The sequence below is a fragment of the Homo sapiens genome, chromosome 16, assembly GCF_000001405.40.
Source record: "Homo sapiens chromosome 16, GRCh38.p14 Primary Assembly".
NCBI classification, from domain to species: domain Eukaryota; kingdom Metazoa; phylum Chordata; class Mammalia; order Primates; family Hominidae; genus Homo; species Homo sapiens.
Genome location: NC_000016.10, coordinates 74914515 through 74935776, shown reverse-complemented (window position 1 = coordinate 74935776; position 21262 = coordinate 74914515). Strand labels below are relative to the sequence as shown.

At 41.9% G+C, this 21262-nt stretch overlaps 1 protein-coding gene across 14 annotated transcripts in view; it reads left to right on the top strand.

Moving 5' to 3' along the window:
- WDR59 (WD repeat domain 59) overlaps positions 1 to 21262 on the top strand; it is a 113762-nt gene that overhangs the window by 49347 nt on the left and 43153 nt on the right. For 10 of the 14 annotated variants that reach the window (XR_007064915.1, XM_047434642.1, XM_047434640.1 and 7 more), the window contains 5 exons: positions 11774 to 11851; positions 13674 to 13830; positions 17769 to 17848; positions 19518 to 19650; positions 19783 to 19907. Coding sequence is in view for 13 of the 14 variants with exons in the window: in XM_047434639.1 (XP_047290595.1) it covers positions 11774 to 11851; positions 13674 to 13830; positions 17769 to 17848; positions 19518 to 19650; positions 19783 to 19907 (573 nt within the window). In the remaining variant the exon portion in view is untranslated. Of the gene's footprint in view, positions 1 to 11773; positions 11852 to 13673; positions 13831 to 17768; positions 17849 to 19517; positions 19676 to 19782; positions 19908 to 21262 lie in introns of those variants that run through there. The other 4 variants (XM_047434646.1, XM_047434644.1, XM_047434643.1 and 1 more) reach the window with 3 other exon arrangements.

Sequence of the window (21262 nt, the reverse complement as noted above, 5' to 3'; positions counted from 1 at the left end):
TCTACCTGCCTTGGCCTCCCACAGTGCTAGCAAGACAATTTTTATTGAATGTATGTAAATAGCATGATCATAAAAAGTGAAGAAACTTAGAAAAGGGACTTTGCATAACATTCAACCATTTTTTTAGTAGATAAGGACCAATATGTGTAATTTTTCTACATAATCATTTTTAAGTTTATATGACAATTTATTAGCTCATAATTTATATTAATTATTTTTATTATATTTTTATTTTCTAAATTCTAAGGGGTCAGCTGGAGCAAGGTATCACTAAATGTGTATTTCACTTCAGTTTATAAATTATTTAACTACAAAACAATTGAGTTGAAGGTTAGGGATAGATCAAGAAGAAAGAAAAGAATTTTTCTTATGTGGCCCTTAGAAATAGAACATTAACTACAATTAAATGAGTTTATATCATTTTACATAATCTTTTTTTTTCCCTGATCTTGGGTTAACAGCAGCCTATTTCACAAAATTGCTGCCTTCTAGACAAAGAGAGTCCTGGAAATCCAGACATAGTCACTTGGTACATTCTTTTTTTTTTGAGACAGAGTCTTGCTCTGTTGCCCAGGCTCGATTGCAGTGGTGTGATCTTGGCTCGCTGCAGCCTCTGCCTCCCAGGTTCAAGCAATTCTCATGTCTCAGCCTCCCTCAGTAGCTGGGATTACAAGGGTGCACCAACATGCCAGGCTAATTTTTGTATTTTTAGTAGAGATGGAATTTCACCATGTTTGCCAGGCTGGTTTCAAACTCCTGACCTCAAGCATTCTCCCTGTCTCGGCCTCCCAAAGTGCTGGGATTATAGGCATGAGCCACCATGCCCGACCACCCTTGCTACATTCTGGTGAGAAACATGTAGCTTTGAGTCTGTTTCCTAGGACATCAACCCTCAAGGAAACCTGGTTCTTTTTTGACCAAGGCTCTTCTGATATTTCTTTATATTTCTCTTTGTCTATATAGATATGTATATATCTATATATAAAGAACAAATATATATTTTGTTTCACTGTCTTGCCCAGGCTGGTTTTGAACTCCTGGGCTCAAGCAGTCTTCCTGCTTCAGCCTCCCAAAGTGTTGGGATTACAGGCGTGAGCCACACCTGGCCCCTGATATTTCTTCAGAGGACTTTTTTCTGATCTGTAGCTTGTAGCAGGGACCCTTAGAAAAGGGTAAATGAAAAGGAGAAATTATCTGTGAATGGGGGGATGGAATGGCTCCGGTTAATTTATAATAACTACCTGTATCAGATTGAAATAGAATGAAGTCTTCTGTTTGCAAATGACATATAATCGTTTTATAAGACTGCATCAGTGATTGCCTTGAGAGCAAGAGCATGTTATGAACAGTGAGGATATTATCAAATCTCCAGGGTCCTCTAATTAATCCCATAAATTGTATAATTGTCACCAGTTGGTGAACATATTTAAATCTAGAAACAAAATCTTTCTTTTTTTCTTAAAAAAAAAGGATTAATCTTGCTAACAGTTATATGCCAGTCTTTATGCATGAACGTGAATATGTTTCTATCCAAATTGAAAAGTAAACAGTTGCTGAAATGTATTCATATTAACAACATTTTACTTGTATATAATTAATCTGGGGAGGCTGAACTTTTCTTTGCTAGCTTTCCACATACTGTGGATTTGATAATAGGGAGGCATGCACAGTGTAGAGCTCATTAAAAATCTGCAGAATGACAAGCATATCTAATTATTTTGAGTATCATTCCTTTTATAAGTTGAGGGGCGAATTATAGTTTACCCTGTGGCCATGTGGGAAACCCAAAAGTAGTTTAAGCTGAAAAGACATCTTGACCATTTTATTATTTTGAACATAGGACCTGAATTTGGCAAAAAAGAGTTGTTATATAAGGGTCTAAAGATAAGAAATGGCTGGTGCGGTGGCTCACGCCTGTAATCCCAACACTTTGGGAGGCCGAGGCGGGTGGATCGCCTGAGGTCAGAAGTTCGTGACTAGCCCCACTAACATGGTGTAACTCCATCTCTACTAAAATTACAAAATTAGCTTGGTGTGGTGGTGCAGCCTGTAATCCCAGCTAGTTGGGTGGCTGAGGCAGGAGAATCGCTTGAACCTGGGAGGTGGAGGTTGCAGTGAGCTGAGATCATGCCACATGCACTCCAGCCTGGGCGACAAGAGCTAAACTCCATCTCAATAAATAAATAAATAAAGATAAGAAATGATTGCAGTCTTGATATATAGTGAAACTAAAGTTAAATACAGCAGTAAGTGATAAAAATTATTAAGAATGGTAGCATTTTTAAAAAACAAGGGATTTAGGCATATGATTCATGAGCTTTATGAAAAACACAAAAAGTAACAGTATTTTGGTGAATCTCTGCTCTCTAGGTGTAGACTGAGTTTTTACTGTTTTAAACAAATGATGTGCTCAGAGATCAGTTGCTGTTTAAATGGAAATAAAACCTACATTTTAGGTGTGATTTTTCTTTTTTAGAGACAGGATCTCACTGTGTCACCCAGGCTGCACTCCAAGTGGCATGATCACAGCTCACTGCAGCCTTGAACTCCTGGGCTCAAGTGATCCTCCCACCTCAGCCTCTGAAGTTGCTAGGACTACAGGTGTATGCCACCATGTCAAATTATTTTGTTTTTTTTGTAGAGGTAGGGTCTTGCTATGTTGCCCAGGCTGGCATTTTAATTTTATTCCTTTTGTGTACTATCCATATAATGTTTTGCACAAAAATCTTTTCCACAAGGCATTTTTTACAAGAAAATCCATAACATTTGGCCAGCTTTGTCAACATGTAATATATAAGGCGAAATTATTCCATTTTTCTCCTTGATAAATCAAGAAACACATGTATTATCTTGCAAACACATCCTCTTACAATCATAGATAACATTTGACATTTTTAAGGCAGCAGAAGTAAGCATGTATACTAATGTGATCGAAAGGTATTTGTAAATCCTTTCACCCTATTAACTGGACAATCAATAAACAATCAAGACTGGGCATGGTGGCTCACCCCTGTAATCCCAGCACTTTGGGAGTCTGAGGAGGGAGGATCACTTGAGCCCAGGAGGTGGAGACCAGCCTGGCCAACATAGTGAAACCCCATCTCTACAAAAAATAAACAAATTACCTTGGTGTGATGGTGCATACCAGTAGTCTCAGCCACCCATAAGGCTGAGGTAGGAGGATTGTTGGAGCCGAGGAGGTTGAGGCTGCAGTGAGCTGTGATCACACCACTGCACTCCAACCTGGGTGACAGAGTGAGACCCTGTCTCAGATAAATAAATAGTATCAAAATAAGGAGCCAGGATAGTTGTGTGTGTGTGTGTGTGTGTGTGTGTGTGTGTGTGTAAAAATTATGTTTCATGACTCAATTTTCAAAAGATACTCTTGGCTGGGTATGGTGGCTCATGCCTGTAATCCTGGCACTTTGAGAGGCCGAGGTGGGAGGATCCCTTGAGGACTGGAGTTTGAAATGAGCCTGGACAACATAGTGAGACCCTGTTTCTAAAAAATAAAAAAATAGCTGGGCTGGTAGCATGCACCTGTCATCCCAGCTACTCAGGAAGCTAAGGCAGGAGGATTGCTTGAGCCCAGGAGTTTGAGGCTGCAATGAGCTGTGATCAGACCACTGCACTCCAGTTTAGGTAAGAGTGAGACCCTATCTCTTAAAAAAATAAATAAATAAAATAAATATATATATGTGTATATATAAAATTATGCTTAAACATTATATATTCAAAGGTTATTCATTAATATTAGTTCAAGGTCTTAAAGATTTTGAAATTATAATTTAAGTTGATATTATAACACAGGAGCAAAAGTTTATATTAAGAGTTTGTTAAAGAAATATTAAACATATTTACCTTGATACTGTAATGGAATAGCTAAGTTGTTCTTTTTTTTTTGAGACAAGATCTTGCTCTGTTACCCAGGCTGGAATACAATGGCACAATCACAGCTCACTTCAGGCTTGGCCTCCTGGGCTCAAACGATCTTCCCATGTCAGCCTCCAGAGTAGCTGGGACTACAGGTGCAAGCCACAATGCCTGGCTAATTTTTGAGGTTTTTTTAAGAGATGGGTCTCCCCATGTTCACCAGGCTGTAGACTCAGCTCTTGTGATCCTTATTATTATAGAAAGTTCAGCCGGGTGCAGTGACTCATACCTGTAGTCCCAGCACTTTGGGAGGCTGAAGCGGGCAGATTGCTTGAACTTAGGAGTTTGAGACCAGCCTGGGCAACATGGCAAAACCCCATCTCTGCAACAAATGCAAAAAATTAGCCAGGCATGGTAGCAACCACCTGTAGTCCCAGCTACTTGGGAGGCAGAGGTGGGAGAATAGCTCAAGCCCAAGAGGTCGAGGTTGTATTGAGCCAAGATTGTGCCGCTGCACTCCAACCTGCCTGAAAAAGGGATACCATCTCTCAAAAAAGAAAAAAGAAAGTTCATAAGAGCAAACATTTTTTTAAAAGCATCAGTTGTTTTCATTCATTCGATTTAATGTAATTTTTATATTTTAATAATTTTAAATATTTTGTGGAAATGATAACTCCTGTAATTCATATAAATAGTTACATAATTTAGGAAGTTTAAATTAATTAAGCTTTCCATGAGAAAATAAACCCAAGGCTTATTTAAGTTAGAATAGTATGTTAAAAATCAATGTTTATACTGTGATAAAGTCAGGAAAACACACATAGATATTTATAAATCCAAATTATCAAACTACATAGTCTGATTTCTCCAGGGATTCATCTTCATTAGAACATTACCTGAACTTTTTTCTTCCCTTTTTCCTTTTTTTTTGGAGATGGAGTCTTGCTCCGAGACATTACCTGAACTTTTTTCTTTTCTTTTCTTTTCTGTTTTTTTTTTTTTTTTTTTTTTGAGATGGAGTCTCTCTCTGTCATCCAGGCTAGAGTGTTGTGGCACAATCTCAGCTCACTGCAACCTCCTCCTCCTGGATTCAAATGATTCTCCTGCCTCAGCCGCCCTAGTAGCTGGGATAACAGGTATGTGCCACCACACTTGGCTAGCTTTTGTATTTTTGGTAGAGACAGAGTTTCACCATGTTGGCCAGGCTGGTCTCGAACTCCTGACCTCAGGTGATCTACCCACCTTGACCTCCCAAAGTAGTGGGGTTACAGGAGTGAGCCAGCGTTCCTGGCAGAACTTTTTTCTGTGTTTATATATTAATTAAAAAAAACTTTCATAAAGTTTGTTTCAAGGTACTGGAATTTTTTTCCATTTTTCTTTATTTGATTTTTGTGTTTTGTTTTTACCATGTTTTCAAGCTTCTTATTTTATATTCTACCATTCACAGCCATTAATTTAACTCACTGCTGATTTTTCCCTGAGGTACACCTTCAGCAAGGATTTGAGAGTTTTTTGTTTTGTTCTGTTTTTCGTTTTACTGTTTCCATTTTTTAAAGAGAAATTTATGGGTAGCTAGTAGGTGTATATATGTATGGGGTACATGAGATATTTTGATACAGGCATATAATGAGTAATAATCACATTAGGGCAAATTGGGTGTCCATCACCTCAAGCATTTATCATTTTTTTCTGTTATAAACATTCTAATCATACCCTTTCAGTTGTTCTTAAATGTACAATAAATTATTACTGACTATAATCACCCTGTTGTGTTGTCAAATACTGGCTCTTTTTCATTCTGCCTAACTATATTTTTCTACCCATTAACCATCCCCACTTCTGGCTCCCCCCGCTCTACCCCACTACGCTTCCCAGCCTCTGGTAACCATCATTCTGCTCTCTATCTTCATGAGTTCAATTGTTTTAATTTTTAGCTCCCACAAATGAGTGAGAACATGCAAAGTTTATTTTTCTGTGCCTGGCTTGTTTCACTGAACATAATGTCCTCTAGTTCCTTCCATGTTGTTGTAAATGATAGGATTGCATTCTTTTTCATGGATGAATAGTACTCCATTGTGTATATGCACTACATTTTCTTTTCCGTTTGTCTGTTGATGAACATTTAGGTTGCTTCTAGACCTTGGCTATTGTGAGTAATACTGCAATAAATATGGGCATGCAGATGTCTCTTCGCTATACTGGTTTTTTTTCTTTGGGGTGTATACCTAGCAGTGGGGTTGCTGGATCATATGATAGTTCTATTCTTTGTTTTTTGAGGAATCACCATACTGTTCTCCATAGTGGCCGTACTAATTTACATTCCTACCAACAGTGTATGAGAATTCCCTTTTCTCCACATCCTTGCCAGCGTTCATTATTGCCTGTCTTTTGGATAACAGCCATTTTAATCGGTGTGAGATGATATCTCATTGTAGTTTTGATTTGCATTTCTCTGATGATCAGTGATGTTGAGCATCTTTTCATATACTGTTTGCCATTTGTATGTCTTCCTTTGAGAGATGTCTGTTCAGCCGGGCGCAGTGGCTCACGCCTATAATCCCAGCACTTTGGGAGGCCGAGGCAGGTGGATCACGAGGTCAGGAGATCGAGACCATCCTGGCTAACACAGTGAAACCCCGTCTCTACTAAAAATACAAAAAAATTAGCTGGGCATGGTGGCGGGCGCCTGTAGTCCCAGCTATTCGGAAGGCTGAGGCAGGAGAATGGCATGAACCCGGGAGGACGAGCTTGCCGTGAGCGGAGATTGTACCACTGCACTCCAGCCCGGGCGACAGAGTGAGACTCCGTCTCAAGAAAAGAAAAGAAAAGAGAGATGTCTGTTCAGATCTTTTGCCCATGTTTTAATTGGATTATTAGATTTTTTTCCTATTGAGTTGTTTGAGATTCTTATATATTCTGGTTATTAATCCCTTGTCACATAGATGGTTTGCAGATCATTTCTCCCATTCTGTGTATTGTCTCTTTTATTTTTTTTGAGACAGAGTCTCGCCCTATCATCCAGGCTGGAGTGCAGTGGTGTGATCTCAGCTCACTGCAGCCTCCACCTCCTGGGTTCAAGCGATTCTTGTGCCTCAGCTTCCTGAGTAGCTGGGATTACAGATGCACACCACCACACCCGGATTATTTTTGTATTTTCTTTTTTCAATTGAGACAGGGTTTCGCCATGGTGACCAGGCTGGTCTCGAACTCCTGACCTCAAGTGATCTGCCCGCCTTGGCCTCCCAAAGTGCTGGGATTACAGGCATGAGCCAGTGCACCCATTTCATTGGAGTATTTTAACATAAAACTAAGGATAATTGCATAACTTCTTTCAATGTAGCTATCCCACGTAAGGTAAATCTGGCCTTACAAGAACAGGGAAAAAAGCTGGGCGCAGTGGCTCATACCTGTAATCTCAGCACTTTGGGAGGTTTAGGCAAGCAGATCACTTGAGCCCAGGAGTTCAAGACCAGCCTGCGCAACATAGGGAGACCTCGTCTCTATAGAAAAATAAAAAAAATTAGCCGGATGTGGTGGTGTGCCCTTGTAGTCCCATCTACTCACAAGGCTGCTGAGGCAGGAAGATCACTTGAACTGGGGAGGTCAAGGCTACAGTGAGCCATAATCCTGTCACTATACTTCAGCCTGGGCTGCAAAGTGAGATTCTGTCTTCTGTCTCAAAAAAAAAAAAAAAAAAAACCTGGATGCAGTGGCTCACACCTGTAATCCCAGCACTTTGGGAGGCTGGGGTGAGTGGATCACGATGTCAAGAGATTGAGCTAATCCTGGCCAACATGGTGAAACCCTGTCTCTACTAAAAATACAAAAATTAGCTGGGCGTGGTGGTGCATGCCTGTAGTTCCAGCTACTCGGGAGGCTGAGGCAGGAGATTCGCTTGAACTTGGGAGGCGGAGGTTGCAGTGAGCCGAGATCGCGCTACTGCACTCCAGCCTGGCAACAGAGCAAGACTCCGTCTCAAAAAAAAAAAAAAAAAAGAAAGAAAGAATAAAGAAAAGGGGAAAAAAAGGAATCCTTGATACCTTCCTCTTCAAGTCCAGCATCTGGTTCTTTAAATACACATCTCATGTGACATGGAAACGATCTTTTGAAAAAAACAGCCATGGAGTAGTTTCTCTTGCTGCCACCAAGTGTGTCCCTTGGACTGAAAATGAGAAAGCTGAGTTTTGTGTGTGTGTGTGTGTGTGTGTGTGTGTGTGTGTTTTTTAAAGAGCAGCAAATCTAAAACATCAGAAGTTTTTTAGAAGTTTTATTTTTTTATTTTCTTCCTGGAAATTCTTTTTTTTTTTTTTTTTTTTGAGATGGAGTCTCGCTCTATTGCCCAGGCTGGAGTGCAGTGGCGCGGTCTCAGCTCACTGCAACCTCCACCTCCGGGGTTCAAGCAATTCTCCTGCCTCAGCCTCGCAAGTAGCTGGGACTCCAGGCGTGTGCCACCATGCCTGGCTAATTTGTGTATTTTTAGTAGAGTTGGGGTTTTGCCATGTTGGCCAGGGTGGTCTTTAACTCCTGACCTTAGGTGATCTGCCTACCTCAGCTTCCCAAGTGCTGGGATTATAGGTGTGAGCCACCGTGCCTGGCTTCTTCCTAGAAATTCTTGAGTTTTCTCATTTTATGTTTAGCTACTTGATTATTAGTCTTCATAGTGAATCAAAACAGAGATGCCATTAAATTTAACAGTTATGCCATCTAAACTTTTCAATCTAAATCATTAATTTTTTTTTGGAAATAGGCAAAATTATGCTAACACTTCTGCTCAGAAATGATTGCATTCATCTCTTCCCACGTACTCAATGGAAGAACCTCATCCAGCCCTCAGGCAGGCTGGGGAACTAAGCAGGATTTTACAGCTGGGTGTTTGCCCGTTCATATGTGCTGTGCTCTGTAATGCTTGTTCATTCATATTGTGCATTAAGTAGAGGAACAGCTTCTAAGATTTATTAACACCTCATTGTTGGCACATAGAACTCTCCCTTGCATTCCAGCTTGGCTCATTTATATATTTCCTTGGGATATCCTCATTTTCTTTTGAGAGGAGAAAAAGTCACCCACTTCGAACTCTAAATTTTTCAGAAGGTTATGAAACTCCAGACAAGTCATTTCCATTTCCATTCAGGCTTATTCCCAAAGTTATTAACCAAACCAAGCAAAACCTTTGGAAAGTCTCTTCTTTTGCTCTAAAACAATGTAAAACCAGTTTTAAAACATTTTGATATTTTAAAGTTTAGTAAGAGATTTTTGGGCCTGAATATATATCCCTATACTTTATTAAGTCTCTAAAAGTTTTGAAACAGAGAAGGCCAGTGTGAGAGTACACGTGTGGATCATCCCCTTCTACAGAAAAGGTTATGATTATTAAAGGCCATTATCAAAACTGGTTTCTTTTGTAAGAAGGAGGAAAGTACTTCTTACATCTGTGGCTTGTTGGCCATCCTCACTTTGGGGAAATTTTCAACCTTTATTCTGTCTTCAAATATTACTTCTGTTTCATCCCTTCTCTTTCCTTTCCTCTGGAACAATGATTATACATCAGCTGGGCGCGGTGGCTCATGCCTATAATCCCAGCACTCTGGGAGGCCGAGGTGGGCAGATCACCTGAGGTCAGGAGTTCGAGACCAGCCTGGCCATGGTGAAACCCCGTCTCTACTAAAAATACAAAAAATTAGCCAGGCGTGGTGGTGCGTGCCTGTAATCCCAGCTACGTGGGAGGCTGAGGCAGGAGAATCGCTTGAACCTGGGAGGCGGAGGTTGCAGTGAGCCGAGATCACACCATTGTTCTCCAGCCTGGGCAACAAGAGCAAAATTCCCTCTCAAAAAAAAAAAAAAAAATTTATTAGACTTTTTCACTGTTTTCCATATAGTCTGATATACTTTTTTTTTTTTTTATTAAAAACATTTTTTTTTGAGACAGGATCGTGCTCTGTTGCCCACACTGGAGTGCAGTGGTATGATCATAGCTCACTGTAACCTTGAACCCCTTGACTCAATCATTCCTCCCACTTCAGCCTCCCAATCAGCTAGGTGAGGAGACAGGGTCTTGCTTTGTTGCCCAGGCTGATCTGGAACTCCTGGCCTCAAGTGATCCACCTACCTTAGCCTCCCAAAGCACTGAGATTATAGGCATGAGCCACTGTACGAGCATTGAAAACCTGTGAAATATAACATATGCAGAGTTGCATATAACTGCCCACACAGGGTATCAAACAGTTCCATGACACTGAAGAGCTACCTCGTGTTATTCCTTTGCACTCATACCCTTTCCTACCCCTAACCTCTGGCAACCACTTGTCTGTTCCCCATCACTATAATTTGGTCTTTCTGAGAATGCTTTTTTTTTTTTTTTTTGAGATGGAGTCTTGTTCTGTTGCCCAGGCTGGAGTGCAGTGTTGCCATCTTGGCTCACTACAACCTCTGCCTCCCGGGTTCAAGCAATTCTTGTGCCTCAGCCTCCTGAGTAGCTGGGACTACAAGTGTGTGCCACCATGCCCAGCTAATTTTTGTATTTTTGGTAGAGATGGGGTTTCGCCATGTTGGCCAGGCTGGTCTTGAACTCCTGACCTCAAGTGATCTGCCTGCCTGCCTGCCTTGGCCTCCCAAAGTGCTGGGATTACAGGCATGAGCTACCACACCCGGACTAGTATATAACCTTTTAAGGTTGTCTTTTTTTCATTCAACGTAATGCCTTTAAGAGTCATCTAAGTTGTTTTAAAAATTAATAATGCATAGACTTTTTAGTACTGAGTAGTATTCCACTTATGTATATGCCACCATTAATTTTCTGTTGACTCATTTAAGGACATTTGGACCATTTTTGGTTTTTGGTGATTGTGAATAGAGCCACTATAAACATTCATATATGGGTTTTTGTGTGAACAGATACTTTCAATTTCCTAGGGCAGTTATGTAGGAGTGGTATTGCTGGGTCATATGGTATGTGTACTTTTAACTTTATAGGAAATTGCCAAAGTGGCCGGGAGTGGTAGTTCATACCTGTAATCCCAGCACTTTGGGAGGCCGAGGTGGGAGGATTGCCTGAGCTCAGGAGTTCGAGACCAGCCCGGGCAACATGGCAAGATCCCATCTCTATTAAAAAAAGAAATTGCCATAGCGATTTCCAGAGTGATTGCTGTCATCTATTTTTGAAAAAATTTCCTAAACTTAAGCAGTTCCGAGTTTCACTCTTGGCTTTCCTGCCTTTGTGACAAATGCTGGAGTTCTAAGCGTATGTGTCTCTCACGTTAGAAGCATAGGTGTCTCTAAGGTAGTTTGTGTGGCTCACTTTGTGTGCTCTACAATTTCAAGAACTGCACCTCAGATGTTGGAGGATGACAGCAGGTGTGGACTTGAATGGATTGGCTCCTAGGTTTTCACACAGCTGCCTTTTTTCTTTGTGACCTTGCACATTATGTCGTTTCTTTATATAGCCTCTACATTTGAAAAAGAGATTAATAACATATATGGTTGTTACAAAGATTAAATGGGAAAAAAAAGTTCTAAATATATGTCTGAAATGTAATGAGTAGTCAGGACACTTCAGCTCTTGTTCTTAAATTACCTGCAAGATGTAAACGTGATACAAAATCAAACACGTCACTCTGAATTTTCAGCTCTAAAGGTCATTTCGTAATCAAACCTGTTGACAGTGACCTGCCGCGTTTAGTGGTCCTCATAAAGTCCAGAAATTCTCCTGTAATGTTTTAGAAATAGAAAGGGAGGTTTCTTTGTGTCTCTGTCACAGTGCGTGGTTATAGGAGCTGAACTAAAAATATGTTGTTGAAGTGTATCTTTAGAGGACCAGAAGCAATGAGTTCAAAGGCTGTGCTTATTTCAGTAGAATTTTTTAATGGCATTTATTTCACAAATGATCTTGCTTGCTCTCTTCTAGTTCTGGGATTACCGCCAGCCTCGGAAATACCTCAATATTCTTCCTTGCCAGGTGCCTGTCTGGAAGGCCAGATACACAGTGAGTGAGCCACCCTGCCTCTTGATAAGAAACTTCTTTTTGGGTGTTCCAAAAAGAAGGAGCCCGGGGACATTTTCTCTTATTTTCTTTGTGAGGTGATTTTCTCTTTCTCTGTTGGTTTAGTGGTGGGACAAACGTGATAATGATAGCTTAAATGCTGTTAACTACTTAAAATTTTATTCTTGGCCGGGCGCAGTGGCTCACACCTGGATCCCCTGAGGTCAGGAGTTCGAGACCATCCTGGCCATGGTGAAACCCCGTCTCTACTAAAAATACAAAAATTAGCCAGGTGTGGTGGCATATGCCTGTAGTCCCAGCTACTTGGGAGGCTGAGGCAGGAGAATCGCTTGAACCCGGGAGGCAGAGCTTGCAGTAAGCTGAGATCGCCCCACTGCACTCCAGCCTGGGTGACAGAGCGAGACTCCATCTCCAAAAAAAATAAAAAAATAAAATAAATTTATTCCTGGAGTGTTGGGTAAGTATCTACATCAGAATTGCTGATCAAAGCTCCACAGAGAAGCTAGGCCATGTAAAGATACTCACTAATGGTAGGGCCGGCAGCAGGGTAGATGGAGGAGAGGGTCAGGAGGCTTGAGGTCTGTGAATTGTGGTGGAAGGAACTCTGGCTTTAAATTCAGAAGACCTGGGCTGGGGGCCATGCTCTATCATTTAATACTGGTATGGCCTTGGGCAAGCCATTTGATGTTTTTGAGCAGAAATTTCCTTTACTGTAGAATATGAATAGTAATTTTTACTATGCCCTCCTTTTTTTAAAATTGTGATAAAATCCACCAAAGTATACAATTCTGTAGTTCACAAGCTGACTTTCTTTTGAAATAACTTATATGAATGTGCTTTCTAAACCATTAAATGCTACAAATAGAGTGGGTAGGCTGTTATCAACCTTCTAGTAATTTTCCATTGCCACACGGGTGAGAGATAATGTATTTCCTTTAATGTCAATCTGAAAGCTAGCACAGGGATGGATAAAGCTACCTTTATACATTGGGCTGTCACCATGGAGCATTGTGGAGCAAAAAAGGTAATTTGGGTATTAAGTTGGTTTTGTACCTGGGATCGCTTGCCAAGAAATCAGACACTCTTCTTAGGAACTGAAATACTTTTCTGGATTAATATGTTTGCTTTAAAAAATAAACAGAAAAGTCCAAGAGTGCTACCAGGAGGGGCGGTGAAGATAAATGTGCTCTTTGGTGACTGTGGTTTATTCCTTAAATAACAGAGTCTAATTATCAACTGAATGGAACCCTTAGCTACCCAGTAGTTTGGGTTTTGCCAAGTAAAACATGTCAGTCCTGAAGCGAGCAAGTTTTCCTTTGAGCAGTTGCAGTGCCGGGGGGGCGGGAAGGTGATGCTTCATGTGGATGGCGTTTTTCTGGTGCATTTCCACGTGGCAAGAATTAGGTCTGCTGCTCCAGGGATTTTCCCTGTCAGCCCTGCATGCTCATTCTGGGAAAGCACTCAGTATCTCTTGAGTGGTAACTCATGGAGAGTAGCTAGGATGTGAAACAGTGTGTTTCATTGCATAGCAATCAGTACCATTTGCTTATTTTAGAATTTTCAAAGTTCTTCAAGCGCTTGCCTCAGCCTGAGTTTTCACTTGCTTTGGTCCCTTCCATAAGCAAAGAGAAAAGTAGACGCGATGTGCAGCCTATGGTGTTTGGGAAAAATTTCTCCAGATGAGTTGGGGCCTTCCATTATCTAATTTATTTTACTTAGGAAGAATTCCAGGTTTGGAAACTCAAGACTCAGCTGATTCTCCCTGAAATAATCTAATCACCTGCTTTTCCCTTCCCTGCCTTAGCCTTTCAGCAATGGATTGGTGACTGTGATGGTTCCCCAGCTGCGGAGGGAAAACAGCCTTCTCCTGTGGAATGTCTTTGACTTGAACACCCCAGTCCACACCTTCGTGGGGCATGATGATGTGGTCCTGGAGTTCCAGTGGAGGAAGCAGAAGGAAGGTGAGTGGGAGAGGCCTGCTGCCCACTTTCCTTCTGAGCTCTGGTGACAGCGGTGCCAGTCAGTGTTGCCATGGAGTCCAGTAAAGAAGACATAGAGAGAGCTGGGCTTTAGGAACCAGAGAGCCAGGGCTGTTGCCACCTTTCGTCATAGGTGAGTAAAGGGACTATATAAGGCTGCTGTTACTCTTCCAAATTCTGTCCTCTTCCACAATTGTCAGCGTAGTCTCTCTTGCTTGGAAGAGATATGCTCCAGTAAGAGACGGAAGATAGAGATTTGCTGTTGGATTGTTTCTGGGACTGAAAGACTCTGGGCTCAGAAGTCCAGGGCATTTGCCCCTTGCCACTCTGTTGATGAGGGAGACCCAAGGTGGTCTTTAGTACTGCCTACTACATACCCTCAGTTGTCTTCACAAGCATGTAGTGCTCTGTCTCAAAAAAGAAAAAAAAAAAGAAAACAGATGATGTGATTTCCTCAGTCCAGTGGGGAGGGGTTGACCGGTAGTTTTGGATGGAAATAAAGTTTTTAGGAACCCATTGTTAGTTACCCATGTTGTCTTTAAGCTGGTGGGTGAGTTGTGTAAATTGGAACTGCCTGGCCAGTAGCAAAATTTTGAGTACGAGTTACTATTTAACTTTTTTTTTGTTTTAACTGTGGAAGAGGGGAATAATAAAGACTGGGGCCTACTTGAGGACGGAGGGTGGGAGGGGGAGAGGATCAGAAAAAAATAACCATTGGGTACTAGGCTTAGTACCTGGGTGATGAAATAATCTGTACAACAAACCCCCATGACAGGAGTTTGCCTTTGTAACAAACCTGCACATGAACCCCTGAAGCTAAAATGAAAGTTTAAATAAAAAAAAATTTTTTTTTACTGTGAAATATATCATGTATTTGAAAATTATATGGAACATGTATAGTGTAACAAATAATTATAAAGTGAAAATCTATGTAATTGCCATGCAGGTCAAGAAAGAAAACGATGCCAAGAGCCCCGAAGCTACCTGGTCACCATCCCCTCCCTTCCCTGAGAGTAGTGACTCCTCTAATGCTTACGATAGCCATTGCTGGATTTTTCCTTTGTGGTTTCACTGCCTATTTTTGAATCCCTAAAAGTAGTTTAGGTTTGCCTGTTTCTGAACCTTTTGCAAATTTAATTATTATGCATGTGTTTTTATGCAGGTGTTCCTTATGATGGGGTTATGTCCCGATAAACCCATTGTAAGTTGAAAATATCATAAGTAGAAAATGTATTTTAGGCCAGGCACAGTGGCTTACACCTGTAATCTCAGTACTTTGGGAGGCTGAGGTGGGCGGATCACTTGAGGCCAGGAGTTCTGGCCAACATGGCAAAACCCCATCTCTGCTGAAAATACAAAAATGAGCCAGGTGTGGCAGTGCATGCCTGTAGTCCCAGCTACTTCGGAGGCTGAGGCAGGAGAATCTCTTGAACCCAGGAGGCAGAGGTTTCAGTGAGCTGAGATTGTGCCACTGCACTCCAGCCTGGAGACAGATCGAGACAGTCTCAAAAGAAAAAATATATATATATATTTAACCCACCTAACCCACTGAACATCATAGCTTAAGTAGCCTACCTTAAACATGCTCAGAACACTTCCATCGGCCTACATTTGGGCTAAATCCTCTAATACAAAGCCTATTTTATAAAAAAAAGTGTTGAATATCTCATATACTTTATTGAATACTGTGCATTATGTTAAAATTGTGACAGTTTCACGCCATCATAAAGTCAAAAAATTGTAAGTTGAACCATTGTAAATTGGGAACCATCTGTATTTTACTTCTTTCTCAGCTGAAGGTTGTTCCAGTTTACTTTTACTGCCATGTCTTCGACATCAATTTTTTTTTTTTTTTTTTTTGAGATAGGGTCTCGCTCTGTCACCCAGGCTAGCGTGCAGGCACGAGCATGGCTCACTGCAGCCTCGACCTCCTGGGCTCGAGCAGTGCTTCCACCTCAGCCACCTGAGTAGCTGGCACTACAGGAGTGTGCCACCATGCCAGCTAATTTTTTGTATTTTTGTAGAGATGAGTTTCACCATGTTGCCCAGGCTGGTAGTCATCAATTTTTATTGGACCACTTCATGCTTTGATTTTCACTGTGGGGAAGGATTTCTCAAAGAGGTAGGAAGTGAGTCAGGATATTGTGGCCAGGGGACAAGGATGCCTCCTGAGGGAAGCAGTAGTCCTTGGTTTCAGGTGTTGCTGATAGATCAAAATGTAGAGTAAGAGAAAAGCATTTAACTGACCAAATAGGAAGCCATATAATCATTAAGAAAGGAGTTCCAGGCCAGGTGCGGTGGCTCACGCCTGTAATCCCAGCACTTTGGGAGGCCAAGGCAGGTTGATCACTTGAGGCCAGGAGTTTGAGACCAGCCTGGCCAACATGATGAAACCCCATCTCTACCAAAATATATTAAAAAAAAAAAAATTAGCCAGGTGTGGTGGCACGTGCCTGTAATCTCAGCCACCCTGGAGGCTGAGGCAGGAGAATTTCCTGAACCAGGAGGTGCAGGTTGTTGCAGTGAGCTCAGATTGCATCACTGCACTCCAGCTTGAGTGACAAAGTGAGACCCTATCTCAAAATACAAAAAATTAAAAAAAAAAAGGTGTTCCAAGAGCAAATTGAGGAGAGAAGCCAGATCATAGGGTGGCATGAACAGGGGCAGCAGGAACCGGTTTTAGTGAATGAAGTAACCCTCAAAGGCAAGGCGTAGAATCAGCCAGTTGGGAGAGGCTGCTGCCCTCTCTGTTGGAAGGCAGGGAGAAGATACAAGGGAGTCGGGGAAGCAAAGGGCCCCTTGGGACCAGCGGGGGAGGCACAGGTCGAGGGGTTGAGTTAATTTATAACATTTAGAAAGGAATTAGGCATACCTTTTCGTCAAAGTCAGGGGCAGGAAGAGAAGCCAGATGTAGGGTCAGAAGATTGTTGATGTGGACATGAGGCAAGATGGTGGCACTTGTAACAAGCCGTGGTTCAGAATAGTTGCTGTCTGGCTGGCTGTGCCTAGTGATGTATGAAATATTGAAGAGTGAATTTTTGGTTGAAGGTGGTGATGCAGAGAAGGAACCAATAAGAACTGGCCCTTGTTTTCCTGCCCACTCACCCTGTGACCTTGGACAGATCATATTCTCTTGCCTCAGTTTCCCCATCCATAAAATTAAGAAATTGGATGAAATTATTTCTAAAATCTTTGCTCTCTGAAGGTGGCCATGAAGGAGATTCTAGATACTGCATAATTATCCGCAAATGTCCTGATCTTTCATGAAGTTATTTCATAAAGCACCCTGAACCTTTTCAGGATAATTTCCCTTTGACCAGAGTTAAGATGAAAATATGATTCAGTCAATTAAGTACATTAAGGATTGATTATTCATTTTACAAAGAGATACATCACTTTACCAAAAAATTCTTTTGAATGGTAAGATGCCATGATGCATTTGAAATAACCCGTTTTGCAAAAATATGTTCATCTCCAGCTCTTCGAGAGCATGTAAAAGGACGAACATTTGCAGAGGTGAAAGTTTAGTGTGACATTAAATCCCAGCATCGCTCTTTACCTGCTAATTTGCCAGTTAGTATTTCACATCATTTAAGTTTCTGCTCAAATGTGATTTCCTTGGGGAGTTCTATCTAAAAATAGTTCCACCATCAGTCTCTGTCCTCTTATCCTGTGTTATTCTTTATACCAGATGTTTTATCAGATATTTGTCTCTTTCTACCACTGGAATGCGAGATCTATAAAGATAGAAATTATTTTATTCATGCTGTAGTCCTGGTACCTAGAATAGTGCCTGGCATATGAGAAATGTTCAGTAGATGTTTGTTGAATGGATGGATGAATCTCACTCCATTTCAACCTCTAGCAAATAGACGTTGAATCCAGAAGAATTTCCAGGATTCTTATTTGGTGATTTCTAGGGTCCAAGGACTATCAACTGGTGACGTGGTCCCGGGATCAGACCTTGAGAATGTGGCGGGTGGATTCCCAGATGCAGAGGGTATGTATGCAGTGCTATTGTGGAGAAATGTACCTGAATCCACCAAAAAGTGTAAGATTCAGGATTTGCGGAAATTAGAGGTTACAGGATAAACAATTTTTTTTTTTTTTTTTTTTTTTTGAGAGTGCGTCTCACTGAATCGCCCAGGCTGGAGTGCAGTGGCACGATCTTGGCTCACTGCAACCTCTGCCTCCCGGGTTCAAGCGATTCTCCTGCGTCAGCCTCCTGAGTAGCTGGGATTATAGGCGCCCACCAACACACTCGGCTAATTTTTGTATTTTTAGTAGAGACGGGGTTTCACCAAGTTGGCCAGGCTAGTCTTCAACTCCTGACCTCAAGTGATCCACCTGCCTCAGCCTCCCACAGTGCTGGGATCACTGGTGTGAGCCACCTTCCCCGGCAGGATAGACATTTAATACATACTTACTGGTTGGCTGAGTAGCTGGTGTGTACCACACCAAGGCTTTGAGGTCTTTAAGAACCAACTTCAGTATTCAGCACTTTAAGGCCAGAGAGCCTCTAAATGTCTTTCCCCTCCTTATTCTAGCATAAGATAGTATGGGTAGCTCCCTGAGTATGTGCCCTGTGGGTTCATTTCTTTCTCTTCTAAATGGGCTAAGAAGCCTACCCTTGTACGCTGCAAATGCTTGGAGGCTTCTACATCTATCAGCAACACTGCTTTTATGAAGCTGTTTGTAATTTTTTCCCGATAAATGATATCTGTTTCTTACATGAACCACACACAGTAGTACCTGGCATGAGCTGCTTTGGTGGCCCTTGCTCTGCTCTGCCTTATCACAGGGTTCTGTCCTCTCCTCATTTGATGGCTAAATTTCTTGACAGTGGGAAGGTGTCTCACTTGTATTGGATCTCCCACAGCGCTTGGTACATTGCTTTGCACAGAATGAATAGAAAATACTGGATAAAAATTTCAACACTGCTTAGTATGAAGTCACTCTTGAGCAGTTTGATCAAATCTCATTACCTTATTGCATTTTCAATCTGTTTTTTCCAAAAGGTACAATTTGCACCAAATGCCTTGAGGTTATGGTTTTCGTTTTTTTTTTTTTGAGATGGAGTCTCTCTCTGTTGCCCAGGCTGGAGTGCAGCCACGTGATCTTTGCTCACTGCAACCTCTGCCTCCTGGGTTCAAGTGATTCTCCTGCCTCAGCCTCCCGAGTAGCTGGGACTGTAGGCGTCCGCCACCATGCCTGGCTAGTTTTTGTATTTTTAGTAGAGACGGCATTTCACCCTCTTGGCCAGGCTGGTCTCAAACTCCTAACCTCAGGTGATCCACCTGCCTCGGCCTCCCAAAGTGCTGGGATTACAGGCATGAGCCACTACGCCTGGCCGGTTATGATATTTTTGCTCCTGGATTAGCTGAATAACTCCATCAAAGCTTGGAGTTTAAATTAATTTTTTTTCTGAGGCTTGCATAAACTCTGAACATGATGAAAAAATTTCCAGTGTTGAATAATAGAGTCTGTTATCCCTGGTGTTTAACCAGGGAGAGTTGGCAATGGGTAAAATCTATTTTGATTATGTCAGCTCTTGGCTGACACATCCCCATCCTTTGCCCTTCCCATTTTTAAGTCAGAACTCTTTAATCAGACATGACAATCATTTCCACGGACTTCTCTAGAACTACATCTTCTACCCTTTGTTGCAGCTTTGTGCAAATGACATATTAGATGGTGTTGATGAGTTCATTGAGAGTATTTCCCTTCTGCCGGAACCTGAGAAGACCCTGCACACTGAAGATACAGATCACCAGCACACTGCAAGCCATGGGGAGGAAGAAGGTAATTTGTCAAACTGATGTCTCAGGTAAGGTGCCACTCTACGCATTGCAGAGTTGTGGCAGATACCCCAGACCTGTTCTCTGTTTCATTTTCAAAAATGCTTTCCAACATTGAACTTCTCTCTCCTGCTAGCCCTAAAAGAAGATCCCCCTAGAAATCTCCTGGAAGAGAGGAAATCAGATCAACTGGGGCTGCCTCAGACCTTGCAGCAGGAATTCTCCCTGATCAATGTGCAAATCCGGAATGTCAATGTGGAGGTACTTAGTTTAATCAACTGTATCTCATGTTTGCTGATGGCAGTTTGTGGGAGAGGGAACCATTTCAGCAATGATTTCAGTTAGCAAATAGCTTTGCAGCTTTAACAGAACTCTCTCTGCTTGCTTTTTTATTTCCTGGGTTTTCTGGCCAGGCGCGGTGGCTCACGCCTGTAATCCCAGCACTTTGGGAGTCTGAGGTGGACAGATCACTTGAAACCAGGAAGCCAGGAGTTTGAGACCAGCCTGGCCAACATGGTGAAACCCTGTCTCCACTTAAAAAAAAAAAAAAAAATTAGCCTGTAATTCCAACTACTCGAGAGGCTGAGGCACAGGAATCACTTGAACTTGAGAAGCAGAGGTTGCAGTGAGCCAAGATCGCACCACTGTCCTCCAGCCTGGGTGACAGAGCAAGACTCTGTCTCAAAAAAAATAAATAAAATAATTAAATAAATAAATAAATAAATAAGTAAATAAAGAGATGCAGACTTTCTTTCTACCCCTATTCTTTTCTCCTAAGATGAGCCAAAGGAGAACCTGATGCTCGTGTGCCTTAGCTCCTCCTTAGATGCTCCAGCATCTCATTTTACTGTAGAGGAAGATACTTAGGCCCTGGAGGCTTAGTGATTTGGCAGAGGTTGCTGCTGAAGTTGGGGACAGAGTTGACTTGGGAAGCCAAACCTCCAGCCCGTCCAGGGCACTCTGTGCTGTGCTGTGCTGTGCTGTGCTGGGCTGTGCCATCTTCTCTCACAGGCTGGCCATTTCCTGGTAATTTAGATTCACAGTAAGAAGGCAACCAAAACTTCTTTGTTTGCTTAGCCTGTGGAACAGTTACTTTTTTGGGGGCAAGTATTGAAAGTCTTTGCTTCAGAAAATTGAGTATCTCTCCAGAAAGGAGTTTTAAAGCTTGATTAGTTTTTCCTTTACCCAAATATGTGCTGTTACATAACTATCTCATGTGGCTTTTAAAACAAGTCTGCTGGCCAGGTGCGGTAGCTCACGCCTGTAATTCCAGCACTTTGGGAGGCCAAGGTAGACGGATCACAAGGTGAAGAGATCGACACCTTCTTGGCCAACATGGTAAAACCCCGTCTATACTAAAAATACAAAAATTAGCTGGTCATGGTGGCGTGCGCCTGTAGTCCCGGCTATTCACGAGGCTGAGGCAGGAGAATCGCTTGAACCCAGGAGGCAGAGCTTGCAGTGAGGCCGAGATCACACCACTACACTCCAGCCTGGCGACAGAGCAAGACTCCGTCTCGAAAAAAAAAAAAAAAATAGTCTGCTGTAAGTGGTTTTAGCCTCACTTTACAGCTGAGGAAACGGAGACATCAAGAGAAGAAATGTCCAAGGTCAGC